The sequence below is a fragment of the Homo sapiens genome, chromosome 20, assembly GCF_000001405.40.
Source record: "Homo sapiens chromosome 20, GRCh38.p14 Primary Assembly".
Taxonomy (NCBI): domain Eukaryota; kingdom Metazoa; phylum Chordata; class Mammalia; order Primates; family Hominidae; genus Homo; species Homo sapiens.
In genome coordinates, this window is record NC_000020.11 from 53772935 (window position 1) to 53797384 (window position 24450).

General features: G+C 43.1%; 2 annotated features.

The window, feature by feature from the left end:
- Positions 1154–2353: an enhancer, noted in NCBI's record as "P300/CBP strongly-dependent group 1 enhancer chr20:52390627-52391826 (GRCh37/hg19 assembly coordinates)". NCBI's record gives its function as "activates an origin of replication core promoter dependent on BRD2, BRD4, P300/CBP, MED14 and CDK7 cofactors, with strong dependence on P300/CBP, by STARR-seq in HCT116 cells {active_cell/tissue: HCT116}" and the evidence as "EXISTENCE:reporter gene assay evidence [ECO:0000049][PMID:35650434]".
- Positions 6862–7062: a silencer, noted in NCBI's record as "peak4272 fragment used in MPRA reporter construct". NCBI's record gives its function as "represses an SCP1 promoter by STARR-seq MPRAs in K562 erythroleukemia cells {active_cell/tissue: K562}" and the evidence as "EXISTENCE:reporter gene assay evidence [ECO:0000049][PMID:32103011]".

The following is a 24450-nucleotide window of genomic DNA, read 5'->3' on the forward strand; positions in this document are numbered from 1 at the left end:
TCACACGCCTGTAATCCCAGCTACCCGGGAGGCTGAGGCATGAGAATCACTTGAACTTGGGAGGCGGAGGCTGCAGTGAGCTGAGATTGTACCACTGCCCTTCAGACTGGGTGACAGAGTGAGACTCTGTCTGAAAAAACAACCAAACAAACAAACAAACAAAAAAACGAAAAAAAAAAGAGAATGAGTGAATCTTTATGTATTTTAAAAGGTGTTGGCCAGGTGCAGTGGCTCATGCCTATAATCCCAGCACTTTGGGAGGCCAAGGCGAGCGGATCATGAGGTCAAGAGATCGCGACCATCCTGGCCAACATGGTGAAACCCCATCTCTACTAAAAATACAAAAACTAACTGGACCTGGTGGCGTGCACCTGTTGTCTCAGCTACTCAGGAGGCTGAGGCAGGAGAATTGCTTGAACCTGGGAGGTAGAGGTTGCAGTGAGCCGAGATCACACCATTGTACTCCAGCCTGGCAATAGTGGGAGACTCCGTCTCAAAAAAAAAAAAAAAAAAAGGGAAAGGTGTCAGTCTTGCTGGCTCTGATTCGGATTTCCATTTAGCCTCACAGTTCTTCAGTGAGATCCAAAGTCGGGAGGCATGCTGGTGTAGGGCAGAGGTCAGCCCACAGGTCAATCCAGGTTGCTGCCTAGTTTTGTAACTTAAAGATCATGTTTGAGCTGCATATTTGAGTAGGATTTTGCTATGCAGATGGGGAAGCAAGAACATTCTAAGATGGCCTAGCAAACTCCAGTCTGGGGGCCAAACCTGTCACACTGCCTGTTTTTATAAATAAGATTTTTAATTTGAACACAGCTACACTCATTTATATATTGTCTCTGATTGCTTTTACTCTACAATGGCAGAGACTGGATGGGCTCCAATGACTAAAATATTTACTGTCTGATCCTTTACAGAAAAAAAAAAAAATCCACCCGTGGTGTAAGGCTTAAACATTTAGGCTATGAATCAACAGCCTGTGTTCAAATTCCAGCTCCACCAACTGACTTCTGTGTAACCTTGGTTACACACTTATAAAATGGAAATATGAATTCCTCTGGGTTGATGTGAGAAGTAAATTCAGTAATCCTAGTAAGTGCTTACTCAGTGACAGTTATTATGATTCATCCAAATTAAAGAAGATTTTCAGAGGCTTCCCATAGTCTTAATGCCCTAGATTATAATCATACTAGATGTTCTCTGTCCTTATAAAAATTAAACATCTAAAATATTTGAGGAATTTGGGCAGCCACCTTTCCTGTTCCAGGAATGAAAGGTTCATAAAATACTGGCAGTACATTTTCAGTTATTTGATGTTGATTAATAGAGTCATGGAAACCTAGAAGGTCTCCAGGGGTGTGCCCTGGGACCCTGTCTTTGATCTATCCTGGATATCATTTTGATTCAGGACTAAAGAATTAAGGTTTTCAGATGCAATTTCTAGGAGACAAAATATTGGTATTACAGGATCAAGATTCACAATGGTCTCCATAGCTTCAAATGAAGGATTGGAAGAAATAAGAGAGCATTTACCAGGGATTGATGTGGATTCTGGCATCAATTATTCACTTCTGGGAATGGGGAGACTTGGCCAGACAGCAGTTCCTGGGAAGTAGTTCTGGGGCTTCTCGTTGGCCACAAGTTCAATTTGAGCCAGATGCATACAGCTGCCGACAAGCAAAGAATCTTAGGCTGCATTAATGGAGTCAGGATATGCCTTGTGGGCTCCAAGGACAATAAAGAAAGAAAACAATTTGAATGAGCTAGGCAACCCATGTTTGCAGAATGGAGGTTCGTTATGGAAACAAAGTACAATTTTTAATGAGGATCCTGCCAAAGTTTCATAGGTTGAGGGGGCGGTAGGGGAAGAGGCGAGTTGATGAGTGATCTGGGAACTATGTCATAATGAGGAATGGCTGAAGGATTTAGGGAGTTTCCCAGGAAAAGAGATGACCACAAGGGAAGAAAGCTTTGGGAAACCACTGAAGGTCTTCCGTGTGGAAGAAGGTGCCTTATTATCTCTATTGCTTTTTGGCAAAACTTGGAGAAAATAAATGTGAGGTACTTATCTTTTGCGATATCAGCTCGGCTCAGTGTTTCTTGTATCCCTGCCCTGAGTCCACTGTCTCAGCTAAGGGGAGTCCCTGGAAGCCATATTTGTTCTTCATAACCCTGTTGATAGCTGATCCAACAAGAGATGAATGCCTGCTGGAAACCAAAACAATCGAGTTCTCTACCCCAGGGAACATGGAAGTTGCCTTGAGGACTGTCAGTCGGCCTCTTTGAATAGTTGGATCTGTAAGGTATAAATCTGAGCACAAAGGTAGACATTTTCCACCATGACAATGCACCGACAGAGAAAGTCAATCTACAGTGAAAAGAATGAGGCCAAGATGCAGAGAAGCAGGAATGGAAAAGCAGAAGGCCAGGCCGGGCATGGTGGCTCACACCTGTAATCCCAGCACTTTGGGAGGTTGAGGCGGGCAGATCACCTGAGGTCAGGAGTTTGAGACCAGCCTGGCCAACAGGTTGAAACACCGTCTCTATTAAAAATACAAAAATTAGCCGGATGTGGTGGCGCATGCCTGTAATTCCAGCTACTTGGGAGGCTGAGGCAGGAGAATCGCTTGAATCCGGGAGGCGGAGGTTGCAGTGAGCTGAGATTGCACATTGCACTCCAGCCTGGGTGACAGAGCAAGACTCCATCTCAAAGGAAAAAAAAAAAAAGAAGAAAAACAGAAGGTCTTGCTGGTTGGATTATTTTATTTTGTTCATTTACTTATTTTGTTGTAGATATAGGAACTTTCTATGTTGCTAACGCTGATCTTGAATCCCTGGCCTCCTGCCTCAGCCTCCCAAAACACTGGGATTACAGGCATTCAGCCACCATGCCCAGCCTGGTCAGGTTCTTTTTAGCTTCCCATCTCCTGGTTTCAGTCCTTCCTAAGGCCTAATCACCTTCCTGGACTTGGGCTTCATGAGATATCTTTTTGTTCTTGTTATAAATTCTCCCTTTTTACTTCTGCTAGTTCAACTAGGTTTCTTCATGTACAACCAAAAGTGTCGTAGCTATATCAGAGCACAGTAGAGAGTAGCTCAGTAGATGGAAGACACGGTGAATCTGTTCAGCCGCTTGAGAGAGTTACTTCAAGAAGTTAAGGCTATGGCCGGGCGAGGTGGCTCACGCCTGTAATCCCAGCACTTTGGGAGGCCGAGGCAGGCAAATCACAAGGTCAGGAGTTCGAGATCAGCCTGGCCTATATAGTGAAACCCTGTCTCTACTAAAAATACAAAAATTAGCCAGAAGTGGTGGCAGGCTGAGGCAGGAGAATTGCTTGAACCCGGGAGGCAGAGGTTGCAATGAGCCGAGATGGAGCCACCACTGCACTCCAGCCTGGGTGACAGAGCGAGACTCTGTCTCAGAAAAAAAAACAAAAAACAAAAGAGAAGTAAGGCTATTTCCTGGGAGCACACAGGTGGAAGTGAAATAACCCTAGATAACTGGGAGGCATAATGAAAGCTTGGGCTTGAACTTCAGAAAAACTTGGGATTAATTTTAAGCACCACCACCACTTTCTAGCTGGGACCTTGGACAGTGGTCTTAACTTTTACTGAGCCTTTTTCTTGTGCAAGATGGGGAGAATACGGCATACCTCATAGAATGGTTGAGGATGAAATAAGCTACTCTATTAGTTTCCTATTGCTACTGTAAGAGATTGCCACAAACTTAGTGGCTTAAAACAAATTCAGAGGCCGCCACGGTGGCTCATGCCTGTAATTTCCACACTCTGGGAGGCTGAGGTGGCCAGATTGCTTGAGCCCAGGAGTTCAAGACCAGCCTGGGCAACATGGAAATACCCCGTCTCTAGTTTTTGTATTTTTTTTAATACAAAAAGTTAGCCAGGTGTGCTGGTGCACACCTGTGGTCCCATCTACTTGGGAGCCTGAGGTGGGAGGATCTCTTGAGCCTGGGAAGCAGAGGTTGCAGTAAGCTGAGACTGGTACCACCGCACTCCAGCCTGGATGACAGAGCGAGACTCTGTCTCAAACAAAACAAAAGGAAACAAAACAAAAATTTAGGCCAGGTGCGGTGGCTCACTCCTGTAAATCTCAGCACTTTGGGAGGCTGAGACAGAAGGATCCTAGTCCAGGAGTTTGAGACCAGCCTGGGCAACACAGCCAGACTCCATCTCTACAAAAACGAAAGTTAAAATAATTAGCCAGGGATGGTGGTGCACACCTGTATTCCCAGCTACTCCGGAGGCTGAGGTGGGAGGATTGCTTAAGCCTAGGAGTTAAAGGCTGCAATGAACTATGATCATCACTGCACTCCAGCCTGGGTGACACAGTGAACAGTGAGACTTTGTCTCAAAAAAAATTTTTTTTAAAATTCTTAATTAGGAGGTTATTATTTATTTATTTATTTATCTGAGACTGAGTCTCACTCTCTTACTCACGGTGGAGTACAGTGGTGTGATCTCAGCTCACTGCAACCTCCGCCTCCCAGGTTCAAGTGATTCTTGCGCTTCAGTCTCCTGAGTAGCTGGGATTACAGGCGTTTGCCACCATGTCCAGCTAAGTTTTGTATTTTTAGTAGAGATGGGATTTCACCCTGTTGGCCAGGCTGGTTTTGAACTCCTGACCTCAGGTGGTCCACCCTCCTCGGCTTCCCAAAGTGTTGGGATTACAGGCGTGAGCCACTGAGCCCGGCCATTATTTTAATAGGATTCTTTCTGGTGAATGGTGAGATTTCCATGAAGGATCTTAAAGGACAAAGACTCAGTCGATCTTGGTTTCCACACCTCACTTCATCATTTAACTGTGTGATGGTGGGTAAGGTTAATGCACCTTTCTGAAGCTATATCCTCATCTGTAAAGCGTGTGTTCATAGTTTTTCTGGTAGGGTTTCTATGACAATATGATTGCAGGCGGAAGCACTTTCTATAGCACCATACAAATATTACTTACAATTCCTAGATAATTCACCAAAAGATTAATCAGCAGGTGAACAGCACAGAGACTGTGACCCTCTTGTGGACAAAAAGGTGAGATTAGATGCAAAGTTTCCACCTCAGCTCACAATCGTTCTTCTACCCCTGCCCTGAGTCCACTGAGTCCACAGCTAAAGGGAGTCCCTGGAAGCCATATTTGTTCTTCATAACCCAGTTGATAGCTGATCCAACAAGAGATGAATGCCTGCTGGAAACTAGAACAATCGAGTTCTTTCCCCCAGGGAACATGGAAGTTGCCTTGAGGACTGTCAGTCGGCCACAGCAAAGGCAAAGTTTCCAGATAAAACGAGGCACCTGCCAGGTCTCTAGGCTGGAGCGAAGCCATCATTGCACAACTTCAAATGTCCCAGAACAAAGATAGACATTGGCTGGCTGGGAAGCAGCTGTCGTTCTGCCTCGGGGTGACAGGCGTCATTTTCTTGAGTTGCTAGCTCATGGTAAAGGTCTGCTTTCTATAGTGGAGACCTAGATGTGCAAGTCCCAGCAAGCCTGGGGCTTGGGGGATCCGGGTGCTAGCTGTGGTTTGATCACCCATCATCGATGGCCTTAGGACTTTTTTTTTTTTTTGAGATGGAGACTTACTGTCACCAAAGCTGGAGTGTAGTGGCGTGATCTCGGCTCACTGTAACCTCCACCTCCCGGGTTCAAGCAATCCTCCTGCCTCAGCCTCCCTAGTGGCTGGGATTACAGGCACTCAACACCATGCCCTGCTAGGTTTTTTATTTTTAGCAGAGACGGGGTTTCGCCATGTTGGCCAGGCTGTTCTCAAACTCCTGGCCTCAAGTGATATGCCCACCTTGGCCTCCCAAAGTGCTGGGATTACAGGAATGAGCCACCACGCCCAGCCGGGACTTTTTCCTTTTCTGGAATCAGTTTTCCCACCTGGCAAAGGGGCAAATTGGATGAGATCATGTAATCTATGGTTTATGTAGTTATTTTAATAAATAGACCAAAAAGAGAGAAGGGAATTCCTTGCCAACATGTAGAGTTTTTCGTATTTTCTTAAGTGGTCCTGGAGGTATCTGAACACCACAGTAAAATGTAAATGAAACTGTTTTATAATATTCATGTTCTAAAAGTTAAAATTTCAGGCCAGACACCGTGGCTTATGCCTGTAATCCCAGCACTTTGGGAAGCCGAGGCAGGTGATCATCTGAGGTCGGGAGTTCGAGACCAGCCTGACCAACATGGAGGAACCCCGTCTCTACTAAAAATACAAAAAAATTAGCCGGGCGTGGTGGCGCATGCCTGTAATCCCAGCTACTTGGGACGCTGAGGCAGGAGAATAGCTTGAACCCAGGAGGCGGAGGTTGCAGTGAGCCAAGATCGTGCCATTACACTCCTGCCTGGGGGACAAGAGCAAAACTCTGTCTCAAAAAAAAAAAAAAAAGTTAAAATTTCGACAGGTGAAAATGGTTTCCCTCTGTCTTTTTGGTTGTGATCTCTTAGTTTTCATCTCCACAGACAAGCAGTTACAGGAAATCTTGCACAGGACAGCTGCCCGTAGCAAAAAATTATCTGGTGCAAAATGTCAGCAGTGCTAAGGTTGAGAAACCTTGCTTTACACATATATTAGCAAATATAAGTGCGCATGCACACACAGAGGCACACACACCCTTTCATACACAAATGGGGGCTACACTGCACATATTTCTACATCTCGTCTTTTTTACCTAACCATGGAGATAGTTGTGTATCTGCACAGATAGACTCTTTCGAGCTGCAGAATACTGTATTCTCCTGTACAGATAGATCACTTATTTACTCAGTCCCCTATTGATAGACATTCAGATTGCTGCCAGCTTCTACAAATAATATTGCTATAATTATTCTTGTTCATAGCTTTGTGTGCAAATGCCCATATGCTATTGTATCTGTCTGATAATTCCTCTAAACAGAATAATCAGGTCAAAGAGTATGCAGCTTTAAAATGTTGACAGACCTCACAGAAGTCCTCCAAAGATGACTGATTTATGTTCTTACCAACTATGTAGTGCTATGCCTTGCTGACACCTTTATTAACAAAATAGAGCCTTCTGTCTTTAAGTTGACTTAGCTTCAACTAATTATGTATTTGAAACCAACTGTAATTTCCAACCATTCGTTTTTCAACAAACATTTATCCTTTGTGTCAGGAACTGGGATGAGAGGAATGAGGGGATACCCTCAAAATATCCTCATTAGACTAGAGGTACAGAGACAGGCTAACACATAGTTTGTACCACAGTGTGACAAAGGCTATGAATTAGGTAACATAACATAAAGGATATTTCCTGTAGCTTTTAGTTTTCATGGAGGCCCAGGGTGTGTCCAATCTTCTAATTTTCTTTTTCTTTCTTTCTTTTTTCTCTTGAGACAGTTTTGCTCGTGTTGCCCAGGCTGCAGTACAATGGCGCGATCTTGGCTCACTGCAACCTCCGCCTCCCGGGTTCAAGCGATTCTCCTGCCTCAGCCTCCTGAGTAGCTGAGATTACAGGCATGCACCACCACGCCCGGCTAATTTTTTTGTATTTGTATTAGAGATGGGGTTTCACCATGTTGATCGGCTGGTCTTGAACTACCGACCTCAGGTGATCTGCCCACCTCGGTCTCCCAGAGTGCTGGGATTACAGGCATGAGCCACCACGCCCGGCCTTTTTCTTTCTTTCATTCTTTTTTTTTTTTGAGACAGAGTCTCGCTCTGTTGCCCAGGCTGGAGTGCAGTGGTGTGATCTCAGCTCACTGCAACCTCAACCTCTTGGACTCAAGCGATCCTCCCACCTCAGCCTCTCAAGTAGCTGGGGCTACAGACGCACCACCACGCCCAGCTAATTTTGTTTATTTTTTGTACAGGCTAGGTCCTACTATGTTGCCCAGGCTGGTCTTGAACTCCTGGACTCAAGCAATCCTCCTGCCTCGGCCTCCCAAAGTGCCGGGATTATAGGCATGAGCCACCGCACCCAGCCTTAATTTTTCAAGAAAAGCCTGGAAACTAGGTTTTTATATCACAGCTTTTTATTTTGAAATATTGGCAAAAAATTTAAATATTATTTCAGTTGGCATAATGTCCTCAAGGTTCATCCATGTTGTAGCATTTTATTTTATTTATCTTTTGAGACTGAGTCTCACTCTGTCACCCAGGCTGGAGTGCAGCGGCACAATCTGCAACATCTGCCTCCCAGCTTCCAGTGATTCTCCTTCCTCAGCCTCCTGAGGAGCTGGGATTACAGGTGCATGCCACCATGCCCGGCTAATTTTTGTATTTTTAGTAGAGATGGGGTTTCACCAGATTGGCCAGGCTGGTCTCGAACTTCTGACCTCAAGTGATCCGCCTCCCTCGGCCTCCCAAAGTGTTGGGATAACAGGCGTGAGCCACCATGCTGGTCATGTTGTAGCATTTTAATGTTGAATAATGTTTCATTATATATATGTACTGCGTTTTTGTTAATTCATTAATCTAATGATGGATATTTGGGTTGTTTCTACCTTTTGACTATTGGGAATGATGTGGATATAAATACTGATGTACAAATATCTGAGTCCCAGTTTTCAATTCTTTTAGATATATATATCTAGGAGTGGGATTGCTGAATTATGTTCTAATTCTGTATTTACCTTTAAGATTTTTTAACTTTAAACATTTTAATCTGTATTTAATGGAAAAACATAAGAAAGGAAAAATATCCCAGAGGAAAAATATGCAAATAAATTCTACCTCTGGTTGATATACAGTTATTAATAACAAAACTAGTGTGAGTTTAGAGAGAATGTTTAGCAAACACTGATAAATGAAAAGAAAAAAAATTACCAAAAACCCTGTATCTGCAAAACAACCACTGTTAATAGTGATCTTTATTTTCAGAGAATACAAATATAGATCAAGATTAATAGTGAAAATAAGGCCAGCATTTAGAACAGTATATGTAAAATCATTATTTAAAAACAAACAAGGCTGGGTACGGTGGCTCACACCTGTAATCCCAGCACTTTGGGAGACCGAGGCGGGCAGATCACCTGAAGTCAGGAGTTCAAGACCAGCCTGGCCAACATGGTGAAACCCCGACTCTACTAAAAATACAAAAAAAATTAGCGAGGCATGGTGGTGGCAGGTGCTTGTAATCCCACCTACTCAGGAGGCTGAGGAAGGAGAATTGCTTGAACCTGGGAAGTGCAGGTTGCAGGGAGCCGAGATCGTGCCATTGCACTCCAGCCTGGTCAACAAGAGCGAAACTCCGTCTCAAACAAACAAACAAACAAACAAACAAACTAGGCCAGGCACGGTGGCTCACGCCTGTAATCCCAGCACTTTGGGAGGCCGAGGTGGGAGAATCGCTTGAGGCCAGGAGTTCAAGACCAGCCTGGCCAACATGGTAAAACCCTGTCACTACCAAAAATACAAAAATTAGCCAGGCACGGTGGTGCGCACCTGTAGTCCCAGCTATTTGGGAGGCTGAGGCAGAAGAATTGCTTGAGGCTGGGAGGCAGAGGTTGTAGCAAGCTGAGATCATGCCATTGCACTCTAGTGTGGGAGACAGAGTGAGACCCTGTCTCAAAACAAAAAACAAACAACCCCCGCCCCGAAAAAAAACCCCAAAACAAAACAAAAAAAACAAACAAAGCCAAGATCTCTCTGAGGTTGTGCCAAGCCCACTGTGCTTTTTCTCATTTATCTTGGCTTCTGAAAGAAAGGAATGCTATTATGACCACTTTACAGTGGGAAAGGTTGTGTCGTAGGGCTTCTACATCATGTGTCAGAGCTGGGATTTGAACCCAGGCCATCCCAGTGCCCATGTTTACCTGTAGGCACAGCAGCCTCACAGATGTCACATCACACACAGTGTTTGCGAAATTTATCTCAACTTTTGTTGTGATGAAAAATTTCCGACAAATACTTTTCTGCAAGATAATTTTTTAACCACTGCACACTATTCCAGGGATGGGTGTATCAATCCCATACATCTCTATTGATTATGTCTCCATGATTTCATGTTTATACTATTACATCAATGAGGTGAATAGCATTGTCTATATATATTTGCACGCATTCTTATTTTTTTTAGGATAAATTCCCAGAAGTGGAATTGCCCAATAAAACAAAAAAGACTTCAAGCCATTTGATATACACTGCCAAGCTGGCTCTCAGAAAATTGTGCTAATTTACATTTCTAACATCAGTATATAAGAGTGCTTTCTTCTATATGTTACCAACACTGGTTATTAACAATGGAAATTCTTTTGCAAATCTTATAGTTCAAAATATTATATATTACCTTATTATTCATGATATTTTCTGGTAAAATTAAAATGCTAACCATACCAAGAGTAGGCAAGAATGTAGAGGGACTTGGCCAGGCACAATGGATCACACCTGTAATACTAGCACTTTGGGAGGCCAAGGTGGGTGGATCATTTGTTGGGAGTTCAAGACCAGCCTGGCTGACATGGTGAAACCCCATCTCTACTAAAAATTTAAAAATTAGCTTGGCATGGTTGTGTGCTCCTGTAATCCCAGCTACTCGAGAGGCTGAGGCTGGAGAATCGCTTGAAACTGGGAGGTGGAGGAGGTTGCAGTGAGCCGTGATTGCACCACTGTACTCTAGCCTGGGTGACAGACTGAGACTCTATCTCAAAAAAAAAAGCTGCCATGGGGGCTCATGCCTGTAATCCCAGCACTTTGGGAGGCCGAGGTGGGTGGATCACCTGGGGTCGGGAGTTTGAGACCAACCTGACCAACATGGAGAAACCCTGTCTCTACTAAAAATACAAAATTAGCTGGGCATGGTGGCGCATGCCTGTAATCCCAGCTACTCAGGAGGCTGAGGCAGGAGAATCACTTGAACCTGGGAGGCGTAGGTTGTGGTGAGCTGAGATGGTGCCGTTGCACTCCAGCCTGGGCAACAAGAATGAAACTTCATCTCAGAAAAGAAAAGAAAGAAAGAAAAAGAATGTGGAGGGACTGGAACTCTCATATACCACTGGTAGGAAAGAAAGATGTTGCAACCATTCTGGAAAATAGTTTGACAGTTTCTTTAAAAGTTCAATGTCCATCTACCCTATGATCTAGCCATTTCATGCCTTGGTATTTATCCAAGAGAAAAGGAAATAGATGTCCATACAAAGAGTTGTACACAAATGTTTATAGTGGTTTTAATTGTAATAACTTCAAACTGAAAATAAACCATATGTCCGTCAACAACTTAATAGATAAACAAATTGTGGTACATCCATACAATGGAATAGCACTCAGCAATAAAAGTAAATGAACTATTGATACATGCAATGACATTAGTGATTCTCAAAATTATTATGCTGAGTGAAAGATGCCAGACAACAAAGAGTACATGCCATTTGATTCCATTTGTATAAACACTAAGAAGTATACACTAATCTCCATTTAGTGACACTAACCTATAATGACACTAATCTATAGTAAAGCAGACCAGTGGTTGCCTGGTAATCGGCGGGAGGAACAAAATAAAGTAATTACAAAGAAATCTTTTGGACTAATGGATATGGTTACTATATTGATTTGTGGTGATGATTTCATGGTCATATACATAGAACAGAACAAAACAAATTGTACCTTTTCAATATGTGTAGTTATTGTATGTTAATTACATGTCAATAAAGATGCTTTTAAAAATCCCCCCAGGTAGGCCAGGTGCAGTGGCTCATGCCTATAAGTCCAGCACTTTGGGAGGACAAGGTGGGAGGATTGCTTGAGCTCAGGAGTTTGAGACCAGCTTGGGCAACATGGCAAAACTCTGTCTCTACCCAAAATACAAAAATTAGCTTGGCATGGTGGTGCATGCCTGTGGTCCCAGCTACTTGGGAGACTGAGATGGGAGGATTGCGGGAGACTGGGAAGTTGAGGCTGCAGTGCGCCATGATGATGCTACTGCACTGTAGCTTGGGTGAGAGAATGAGACCCTGTCTCAAAAAAAAAAAAAAAAAAAAAATTCCTCTCAGGACGGTTGGCCCTACGTACGTGCGGATTCTGTATCCATGGATTAACTCAACTCAACTGAAAATATTTGAAAAAAAAAAAAAAAAGATGATTGCCGGGCGCAGTGGCTCACGCCTTTAATCCCAGCACTTTGGGAGGCTGAGGTGGGCGGATCACCTGAGGTCAGGAGTTCGAGACCAGCCTGACCAACATGGAGAAACCCCGCCTCTACTAAAAATACAAAAAAATTAGCCGGGCTTGGTGGCACATGCCTGTAATCCCAGCTACTCAGGAGGCTGAGGCAGGAGAATCACTTGAACCCGGGAGGCGAAGGTTGTGTTGAGCAGAGATTGCGCTATTGCATTCCAGCCTGGGCAACAAGCGTGAAACTCTGTTTAAAAAAAAAAAAAATGCATCTGCAGTGAACATGTACTGACTTTCTTTCTTGTCGTTTCCTGAATAATACTGTACAACAACTATTTATATAGGCTTAGGTGTTATAAGTAATCTACAGGTAACTTAATGTGTACAGGAGGATGTACATAAGCTGTATGCAAATATACCTTTTTCTTTTGTTTTTTGAGACAGGGTGTGTTTCTGTTGCCCAGGCTGGAGTGCAGTGGCAAGATCTTGACTCACTGCAATCTCCACCTACTGGGCTTAAGCCATCTTCCCACCTCAGCCTCCCAAGTAGCAGGGACTACAGGGGGACGCCATCATGCTGAGCTAATATTTGTACTTTTTGTAGAGATGAGGTTTCGCCATGTTGTCTAGACTATGCTGGAACTCCTGAGCTGAAGTGATCCGCCTACCTTGGCCTGCCAAATACACCTTTTTCTGTCAGGAACTTGAGCATCTGTGGATTTTGGTATCCGTGGGAGGTCCTGGAACCAATCCCCCAGGGATATGGAGGGACAACTGTATTACAATATTCTCATTGTTTTACTTATTGTTGTTGTTTACTAAGCAGGGGCACTGAATATGGTCAGGCAGGCTGCCAGTTTCACAGTTCTCTATTTGGAGTGTCTGTTTCCAAATAGACACCCCCCCCGAAGCTGTGAAATGGGGCAGCTTCGCCAATAAGCTGAACATCATGGCATCTATTGATCAGCCTTTTATATTTCTTTTTACGGGTATTGCCTTTATTTTGAGGATTTTCCATCTGTAAGTTCTCTTTATATAGGCTATTAGGCGTCTGTCATACATGTTGCAAAGATGTTTTCCAGCTTTGCAATTTGGAGTTGACTTTTGACACCGATGAACCAGTGACAATTACTTCTGATCCGATAACTTATTTGTTGGCAAAGCATGGTCCTGTGAATTCCTTTCTTGGCACCTAGGATCATTGCTTCAGCATCTGTTCTTTTAGAAAACAGGTTTGTCCAGCAACTTGTATTTGTCATCTTCCTTGTGATTTGTTTGATCAAGTACATTGTCTGTTAAGTTGAGTTGCTGCTGGCTTTCAGGTCAAACGCATTAGGCTTTAATAGGCATTCTGAAGTGCTTACCAAACCCAGCTCTGTAGTAAAGGAACTGTTAAGAGTCCTTCTTTTCTCTTTTCCTTCTCCTACTTTTATTTCAGTTTGTTGAATTCCTCCCATAATCTGCCTCTGGGTTAAAGGCTTTACGTTATCTTTTCACATCTAATTCTCATAACCTTGTGATCCTAGGTGTGGTTAGTTCCGTTTTTTATTTAAGGAAACTAACTTGTGGAGAAGTAAAAAAAAAAAAATTCTACCCAGAATCACATGGGTAGCAGGTGAGGAAAGTGACTTTTGAACTTACATTGGTCAGACTCCAAAAGTCAAGCTCTTAACCTTCACCCTACTACCTCTAACTTACCCTGGCTTTCAATGAGTTGCTTGTGTGTTTCTTCGTCTTTTAACCCTGATAAAGAGATTTGGTGCACAATAGGACCTGAGATCTATTGGGTTGAGAAAGAGAAAGAATATTCTATGTGGGGTGGGCTGAGGAGGTGTTTCCAAAATGTTTCCACTTCAGTTTCATACACAAACATACAATGGATGAAAAAGCAGGAAGGCAATAAGCTCACTTTGTTACACACTCCTCCGCAGTCAGGTTGTACATAATGCCGCTACGAGCAGCTTCTCAACCTCAGCACTGTTGACATTTTGGGTGGATAATTCTTTGTTTTGTGTTGCTGTCGTGTGCCTTGGATATTTAGCAGTATCCCTGGCCTCTACCCACTAGATGCCAGTAGCACCTCCACCCCTGCTGTGACAATGGAAAATGTTTCCAGACATTGCCAAACGTCCTCTGGGAGGAAGAATCGCCCCTGGTAAACACTCAATGGCCTATGATTAATAAAGGCTTAACAATGCCTTTCACAGCTCCAAAGAAATATCCATAGATTACAAGGCTAATAAAGATACACTGGGTCATGTATTTCTCTCCTTCTCTCTCTCTCTCTTTTTTTTTTCCCGCTAGCAGAATTTCCTAGTGGAAGCTGAATGTTTGATTAGCACACTTAGAAACCGTAGAAATGTTTATTTAAATATATGGCTAACACAAAGAAAACATTTTTATCATTATTTTCTCATTACAGATAATTTTTTTTTTTGAGGTGGAGTTTCGCTCTTGTTGCCCAGGCAGGAGTGCAATGGCATGATCTCAGCTCACCACAACCTCCGCCTCCCGGGTTCAAGTGATTCTCCTGCCTCAGCCTCTCGAGTAGCTGGGATTACAGGCATGTGCCACCACACCCGGTTAATTTTGTATTTTTAGTAGAGGCGGGGTTTCTTCATGTTGATCAGACTGGTCTCGAACTCCTGACCTCTGGTGATCCGCCAGCCTTGGCCTCCCAAAGTGCTGGGATTATAGGTGTGAGCCACTGTGCCCGACCATTACAGATAACTTTTATTGAACTCATACTGTTTGCCAGTCCCAATGCTAAATCCCTTACTATGTCATTTATCTCATTTATGACTCACAGGTTTTAAAAATAGACATGAATGTTATGCCCATTTTACTGATGAGGAAATTGAGATTTACAAACATTAAATAACTTCTTTTAAGATCACTGGAAAGATTAATGCAGCTGAAAACTTAACCCAAGTTTGTTTTACACTGGGGTTTATTTACACTACTGACTTCCAAAATTAATATTCATCCACAGTAGGACAATTAAACACAATCATTAAAAACAAAATGAAGACTATAAAATCAGTGCTATCTTACCACTCAGCAATAATCTGTATTGACATTTTGCTATGAATTCATTCAGTCTTCATTCTCTGCATTTAAAAACATATATGCTTTAGAAAAAACGAAACATGTTTAATATCCTATGTTTTTTCTTTATATTTGGGACTACTTTTCCATCATGATGTTAAACATTCTTTACTAAGTACCATTTAAAAGGGCTATATAAAAATTAAAAAAATTAACCAGACATGGTGGCATGTACCTGTAGTCCCAGCTACTTGGGAGGATGAAGTGGGAGGTTTCTTTGAGCCAAGGAGTTAGAGACCAGCCTGGACAACATAGTGAGACCCCCACCTCTAAAAAAATAAAAATATTTAGCCAGGGGTAGTGGCGTGTGCCTGTTGTCCCAACTACTTGGGAGGCTGAGGCAGGAGGGTTGCTTGAGCCCAAGAGTTTGAGGCTGTAGTAAGCTATGATCGTGCCACTGCACTCCAGCATGGGTGACATAATGAGACCCTGTCGCAAAATGAATGAATGAATGAATGAATAAATGAAAGAGCTATTTCATATTCTACCAGGGAACATTTAAACAGTCTCCCATTGCCAGACATTCTGGTTGTATTTTTTTCCTCTCTCCCTCTCTCCTTCTCCCACCCTCTCTCTTTCTTTCTTTTTCATGTTATTTACACAAGATAAATTCCTAGCAGTGAAATACTGGAGTAAAAGTAATCCTATGTATTTTGAAGAGTGCCGATGTCATCAAAAAGTGATATATTTTTAAGGCTCATGATGCATGCTGTCAAATGCACCCCCCCAAAGGTTGTACTGATTTACATTTTACCTGCATTGGATGGATGGATATACTTTTTTCCTCCAAAAAACAAAGGGCTTCTAACTAATTAAAAACAAAAAAACATGGCCAGGCATGGTGGCTCACGCCTGCAATCCCAGCACTTTGGGAGGCTGAGGTGGGCGGATTACCTGAGGTCGGGAGTTCGAGACCAGCCTGGTCAACACTGCAAAACCCTGTCTCTACTAAAAATACAAAAATTAGCCGGGTGTGGTGGCACATGCCTGTAGTCTCAGCTACTTGGGAGGCTGAGGCAGGAGAATCGGTTGAACCCGGGGGGCAGAGGTTGCAGTGAGCCAAGATCACACCACTGCACTTCAGCCTGGGCGACAGAGCGAGACTCCATCTCAAAAACAGACAAAAAAATACACACACATATGCATATTCACACACACACACACACACACACACACACACACACACGCTTGTAGATATCACAGAGAAAGTCATATTGCCTTTTATTTGCATTTCTTTGCTAGTAATAGTTCTTTATGAAACATGAGAAATTTATGCACTTAACAAGAAGTAGTGGGGGAGTAGTAGTTAAAGATAGACTCTGCAATATGAGGAATAGTGAGACCCATTTCACAGATGAAAAAGTGTGTAGACCTAAAATGTTAATGTGTATATTTAATTATACAACATAACTGCAAATCAATGTAAGAGAATAGGTTTAAACTCCTTACAAACATACTTCTTATATATCTCATAAATCTGAACCCTAAGATGAAAGCAAATTGACAAATTAATACAAACAAAACTATGAGGACTTGGAAACCCAAATTAGCAGCAATAATTTCATATGTGGATGAAACAACTGCACAGAAGTGCAATCTCTGTAAGCAGTGTGGATGCCTTGTCATGGCACTTTCTGAGTCTGCAATGACTCAGCCCATCCTCCACTTTTCTCCTGAATCACGAAAAACAAAGCATTCCTGCTGGCACAAATGCATCCTTTACATGCCCATCCTGCCTCTTTCTTCTTCCCATTCACTCCACAAGTAAAGTAATATAACTTGGGGTCATTTATTGTAAACCCAAGTACACAATTAAGTGGGATGTTTAGTTAGCATACGGAAATATTATGTTTAGATCATTTGCGAAAGAGAATGGAAATGTAAACTACTTTCTTATAGGAAACTAAAACCCACTTAGCTAAATGTTGAAAGCATAGGCCAAGGATGAGACAGACTGAGCAAGTCAGAGCCACAGTGTTCTTATCTGTGAAATGGAGGAAATAATAGTTACCCCATAGGTTGTAGTAGATTGAGTCAGAATAATGCAGGTAGGCTGCTTATGACATGCAAACTATTATTAAAACATGTTTTCCATTCGTCATTTGGTTTCTTAGAGACAACCCAGATTTTCGTCTTCTTTTTTTTTTTAGACAGAATCTCGCTCTGTTGCCCAGGCTGGAGCACAGTGGCGCAATCTTGGCTTACTGCAACCTCTGCCTCCTGGGTCTAAACCATTCTTGTGCCTCAGCCTCCCGAGTAGCTGGAATTACAGGCACGACCTACCATGCCTGGTTAATTTTTTTGTATTTTTAGTAGAGATGGCATTTCGCCATGTGGGCCAGTCTGGTCTCGAACTCCTGAGCTCAAGTGATCCGCCTGCCTCGGCCTTCCAAAGTGTTGGAATTACAGGGATGAGCCACCATGCTGGTATCTCTTTTTGGTGGTATCTCTTTTTCCCTCCCTGTATCCATACCCTTTGCACATACTACCTTTGTGATCTCTTCCATGAAGAAATGAGATCTATTTCCCACACCTTGAATAGCAGCTGGATTTTTGTCTTGCTTTGGCCAACGGAATCCTGTTGTATTTAAGGAGAAATGTTTCATTCCAAAACAAGACCACAGATTATTTTAAAAGTCCCCAAAGCAGGAGATCTGTGTTCCATGATCCCCCCCCGCCCCTGCATTTGCTCCACTCAGCCAAGGTCTAGCTGGAGTGTTTTTACACCAAGATTTCTGTTCGTTTTCATTGATACAATTCAGTTGCACAGAGCGCTTCTTAATCTCTCTGCTCAAATAATTGGATGTGTTTCGAGTGATTTTCTAAGTGAGAGAATCAGTGGTTTCTATGCAGCATAAACACCGGGAACCTGATTCACAACTTTCTTAGTGGAGTCTGACATCTACAGAAGCCTCCCTGCGGATCTTGACTCTCCTTCCTGGCATCTGACTCCAGGAAGGTGGCGTCTGAACCACCTCCTGCCAACAAAATCCTGGGAAAATAAAGCTGGACCCATTCAAGGCGAAATTCCCCATAGCCACAGCAAGCTGGAATGAATTTACATGCACATTTAGTTGATATTTCCTGCTTGTCTCTTGAACATGTAAATGGATGCTACTCCTTTCTGTAGAAGCAGGGTCAGGTAAGGACACAATTAATGCTTACAGGTTTCCCTGAGGGCTCCCAGGCCCCCAATCTCCCAATCTCACACTTCCCTAATACCGTGACTCATGGAGTCTCATGCTCACAGTGAAACCCTGAAACCCCTGCCAGTTCCTTCAAATCTTTTTAATCTTTTTTTTTTTTTTTTTTTTTGAGACGGAGTCTCGCACTGTCAACCTGGCTGGAGTACAATGGCACAATCTTGGCTCACTGTACCCTCTGCCTCCTGGATTCAAGCGATTCTCCTGCCTCAGCATCCCGAGTAGCTGGGATTATAGGCGCCCACCACCATGTCCGGCTAATTTTTTGTATTTTTTAGTAGAGACAGGGTTTTACTATGTTGGCCAGGCTGGTCTCGAACTCCTGACCTCATGATCCACCTGCCTTGGCCTCCCAAAGTGCTGGGATTATAGGCATGAGCCATGGCACCTGGCCTCCTCCAAATCTTTCTAAGAAAGCATTTTGAAGCCCAACTTCATTTTCATTATTATTATTAATTGGGGTCCAATTTTGCATACAATACGTTGCAAAGGTTTGTATTTATTTATTTATTTATTTATTTATTTTTATTTCTTTATTTGAGATGGAGTTTTGCTCTTGTTGCCCAAGCTGGAATGCAGTGGCATGATCTCGGCTCACTGCAACCCATGCCTCCCGGGTTCAAGTGATTCTCCGGCCTCAGCCTCTCAAGTAGGTGTGATTACAGGTGCACGCCACCACTCTCGGCTAATTTTTTGTATTTTTAGTAGAAACAGGGTTTCACCATGTTAGCCAGGCTGGTCTCGAACTCCTGACCTCAGGTGATCCGCCTGCCTTGGGCTCCCAAAGTGCTGAGATTACAGGTGTGAGCTACCACGCCTGGCCAAATTGCAAAGATTTTAAATGTAGTTTTATGTCTTCCAACAAAGCTCTATACCCTTGTAACCACTGCTCCAATTGATATAAGAACTCTTTTATCACTGTACATTCCCTTATGTCTTTTTCCAGTAACAATCCGTCCTCTCCCGAGATTTTGATTTCTAACACCGTAGCTCAGTCTGGCCAGTTTTCAAACTTCACATAAATGGAACCAGACAAAATGATCACTTTTGTGTCTGGCTTCTTTTTATTGAAATGTTTTTGAGATGCGTCTGCATTGTTATTTATGTCCTTAGTTCATTTTAAAATTACTTCTGAGCCATGGTCCATTGTGTAGCTATACAGCGCTTTAACAATTCACCCGTTGATGGACACTTTATTTATTTTTTCCAGTTTTTGACTATTATGAATAAAGCTGCAATGAACATTTCTGTATGCATGTATATATTTCTTTTTGGAAATGTGTGTTTATTTCTCTTGGGTAAATACTTAGAAATGGAATTGCTAGGTCAGGGGGTAAAAGTATGGTTAATGTATGTATAAGAAACTGTCAAACTGTTCTCCAAAGTGGAGAACTTACTTGATTTTGAGACTTGTGATTACATTATGTGCTGCATTTCCTGCCCTTTATTAACACAATAGTTTTTTTTTTCTTCTTTGTCTGGGTAAAAGAGATTGTAAAAAGTGGCTGTATCTTTTTCCTCCCTGTATCTATACCCTTTGCACATATTTTTTTGTGATCCCTTCTATGAAGAAGTGGGATCTATTTCCCACTCCTTGAATAGCAGCTGGATTTTTGACTTGCTTTGGCCAACAGAATGCAGTAGAAATAGCAGTGTACCGGCACCAAGCTCCAGCCTCAGGAGACCTCATGAGAGTCTGTTTATATTTTGGAACACTGCTACTGCCATAGGACAAGCCTGGCCTGGCTAGATGGATGGGAGACCACGTGGAGAAGGGCCCAGCTGTCTCAGCTAAAGCCATCATAGACCAACATACAGCCAGCCTACTTCCTAACACATGAGAGAGCCCTGTCTGGATTAGCAGAAACACCTACTCAACACAAAGCTGATTACAGAAGCACGAGTGACCTCAACTTGGAAGAGAAGAACCCCTTGGCAGAACCCATAAACTCATAAACAATAGCAAATGCTTATTGTTTTAAGTTGTGGAGTTTTGGGATTATATGTTATGCAGCCATATGTGACTGATACAGGCTAGATCTTCACCTCTTCCCCTACCATTTACTATTTGTGTAAACATAGTCAATGTAGTTAATATCTCTGAACTTAAAGACGTCTCATCTGTATGATAGGATCATGATACTTGCTTTAAAAAACAATTTGGAGGCCAGGCACGGTGGCTTACATCTGTAGTCCCAACACTCTGGGAAGCCGAGGTGGGCAGATCATGAGATCAGGGGTTCAAGACCAGCTTGGCCAACATGGTGAAACCCCGTCTCTATTAAAGATACAAAAAATTAGTCAGGTGTGGTGGTGCACACCTGTAATCCGAGCTACTTGGGAGGCTGAGGCAGGAGAATCACTTGAACCTAGGAGGCAGAGGTAGCAGCGAACTGAGATCGCACCACAGCACTCCAGCCTGGGTGACAGGGCAAGACTCTGTCTCAGAAAAAAAAAAAAATAGCTTGGAGGATTAGATGAAAAACTGAAAGAACATGAACAGAGCTGATAATAAGGCTCAATACATTCTTTCTCTAGTAATAATAATGATAAAACCACCACCTCTTCTTTTTACCTTAACACATTTTCTTACAGTAAAATCTTCTATGACTTTGGGACTAGAAAGGCCTGGACATGCTCAAGACTTGTCCTTCCAGTTTGGAGTATGAGTGCATTTTCCTTCGCCAGATATTTCATCATCACATGGTCTAGTTATTTATTTTCATTGATTGAGAAGAACCTGTGATAAATGCACAGTTGTAAAATATCAAGTGCTTTTGCCGTGGATTTGTAGTTTATGAAATTACAATAGCCTTGCCAGTGCCTTTAAAAGCTAGTGCCACATGAAAACCAAGATGCATTCATTTGGTTTACAGATACTGTTTTGTGTGTATAACAAGTCACAGGATCCTTTCCTATGATTTCCTAGCTTCTCAAACCCGTCGTCTTTCACCACTGCAGGGGACTATGGCCAACGGGCTAGAAACTATTGATTAAGGCCAATAGAAGACTATGAGACGCGGCCCTTCATGGACCAAACTTTCCTTAAGCTTGCTTAATTATGGCCCTTGTCATGCCTCGAAGTTCACCTACTACCACCGTTTCGCTTGTTCATTTTGTTCTTGTTTATAAGACAGAGTCTTGCTCTCTTGCCCAGGCTGGAGTGCAATGGCAGGATCTCAGCTCACTGCAACCTCCGCCTCCCGGGTTCAAGCAAATCTCCTGTTTCAGCCTCCCGAGTAGCTGGGATTACAGGCACCCGCCCCTCACACCTGGCTAATTTTTGTATTTTTAGTAGGGATGGGATTTCTCCATGTTGGCCAAGCTGGTCTCAAACTCTTGGCCTCAAATGATCCACTCACCTCGACCTCCCAAAGTGCTGGGATTATAGGAGTGAGCCACTGCGCCGTGCCTTGTTCCTTTTGTTCTATCCACGCTGGCCTTCTGGCTGTTCTTCAACCAAGCAAAACGAGGTTTTTTGCTACTTCCTCTGCCTGGGAAGCTTGCTCCTGGCTCTTCACATAGCCAGCTCGTTTTTCCCTTCAGATTTGTGCCCAAAGATCACCACAGCCGCTGAACATGGAGGTGGGAGGAGATGAGCAATAAGACCATTCCTTACATGGTGTTTCCATGACACAGGAGAATCACTGCAGGAGCACAGATGATAGCAGCAAAGTGTGGGAAAATCATTAGGAAGGGATGAGTTTCCACTCTTTGTTTCCTTTGTTATTTCTATTTTTAAATTTAATTTAAATTTTTTCATTTTTAATTTTTGTGGGTACATAGTAGGTGTATATGTTTATAGGGTACATGAGATGTTTGGAGACAGGCATGCAATGTGAAATAAGCACATCATGGAGAATGGGGTATCTATCTTCTCACGCATTTATCCTTTGAGTTAGAAACAATCCAATTACAATCTTTGAGTTATTTTAAAATGTACAATTAAGTTATTTTTGACTATAGTCACCCAGTTGTGCTATCCAATAGCAAGTCTTATTCATTCTGTTTTTTCTTTTTCTTTGAGACAGAGTCTTGCTCTGTCACCAGGCTGGAATGCAGTAGCAAGATCATGGCTCACTACAACCTGGAACTCTTGGGCTCAAAAGATCCTCTCCCCTAAGCCTCCTGTGAGGCTAAGACTACAGGTGTGCACCACTGTGTCTGGATAATTTTTTAAAAAATTTTTAATTTGTAGAGACAGGTCTTGCTACATCGCCCAGGCCGGTTTCAAACTCCTGGCCTCAAGCAATCCTCCCGCCTCAGCCTCCCAGAGTGCTGGGATTACAGGCATGAGCCATTTTGCTTGCCTTTTAAATTTTTTTTTTTTTTTTTGAGACGGAGTCTCACTCTGTCACCCAGGTTGGAGTGCAGTGGCGCGATCTCGGCTCACTGCAAGGTCTGCCTCCCGGGTTCACGCCATTCTCCTGCCTCAGCATCCTGAGTAGCTGGGACTACAGTCGCCCGCCACAACGCCCGGCTAATTTTTTGTATTTTTAGTAGAGACGGGGTTTCACCATGTTAGCCAGGATGGTCTCAATCTCCTGACATCGTGATCTGCCTGCCTCAGCCTCCCAAAGTGCTGGGATTACAGGTGTGAGCCACCGTGCCCGGCCTAAATTTTTTGTGTGTGTGTGTGTGATAAAATGTACAAAGCATGACATTTACCATTTTAACTAGTGTGTAATTCAGTGGCATTAAGTATAGTCACAATGTTGCATCAACATCACCACTGCTTTCAGAAATTTTCTTTTAAATCATCCCAAACACCAACTCGTTAAAAACTAACTGCCTGTTCCCTTTTCCCTCCTTCCAGCCCCTAGGAATTTCTCTTCTATTTTCTGTCTTTATGAATTGGCCTATTTTAGATTATTGTAAGACTTCACTTAAATAGATCCACCTCATATAAACGGAGTAGTACAGTATTTGTCCTTCTGTGTCTAGATTATGTCACTTGGAATATCCTTTGGTTTTATTTTTAATTTTATTTTTTTATTTATTTTTGAGATGGAGTTTTGCTCTTGTTGCCCAGGCTGGAGTGCAATGGTGTGATCTCAGCTCACTGCAACTTCTGCCTCCCGGGTTCAAGCGATTCTCCTGCCTCAGCCTCCCGAGTAGCTGGGATTACAGACTTCTACCACCATGCCCGGCTAATTTTTTGTATTTTTTAGTAGAGACAGGGGTTTTACCATGTTGGCCAGGCTGGTCTCGAACTCCTGACCTCAAGTGATCCACCCCACTCAGTCTCCCAAAGTGCTGGGATTACAGGCGTGAGCCACCGCGCCCCGCATCCTTTGGTTTTAATATCATTTATTTAAATTTAAGTTTGGGCCGGGTGCAGTGGCTCATGCCTATACTCCCAACAATTTAGGAGGCTGAGGCGGGAGGACTGCTTGACTCCCGGAGTTTGAGACCAGCCCTGGCAATCTAGTGAAACCTCATTTCTTCAAATAATACAAAAAATTAGCCAGGTGTGGTGGCATGCGCCTGTAGTCCCAGCTACTTGGGAGACTGAGGTGGGAGAATCAGGAGGCAGTGAGCCATGGTCGCGCCATTGCGCACCAGCCTGGGTGGCAGAGTGAAGCCCTGTCCTCTCTCTTTTTATATACATATACATAAAATAAAATAAATTTTAGTTTGTAGAATTTAATTTTTTTAAAGATTGTGTTTAACAACCAGCTTGTGAAATTCCTGAAAACTTAACAACCAGCTCTTAAGTGCTGGGGTGAGCCCAGGGTCCAGCAATCTTGGAGCCAGAACTCCAGCTGAGGACTCTCAACTCCACAGTCCTCCTCTGTATCACTGATCCCACAGGCCTTCCTGACTCAATTGATCACCTCATCAGTGACCTTATCACAAACTGTGGCAGAACCCAGGCATCCTAACCATCCTCCCCACTTTGGAAACGTGGCTGAAGGGTGTAGTGGCCTGCCCCTGTAGTCCCGGCTACTCAGGAGGGTGAAGTGGGAGGATTGCTTGAGCCCAGGGGGTCAAGGCTGCAGTGAGCCGAGATTGCACCATTGCACTCCACCCTGGATGACAAAGCAAGACCTATCTCAAG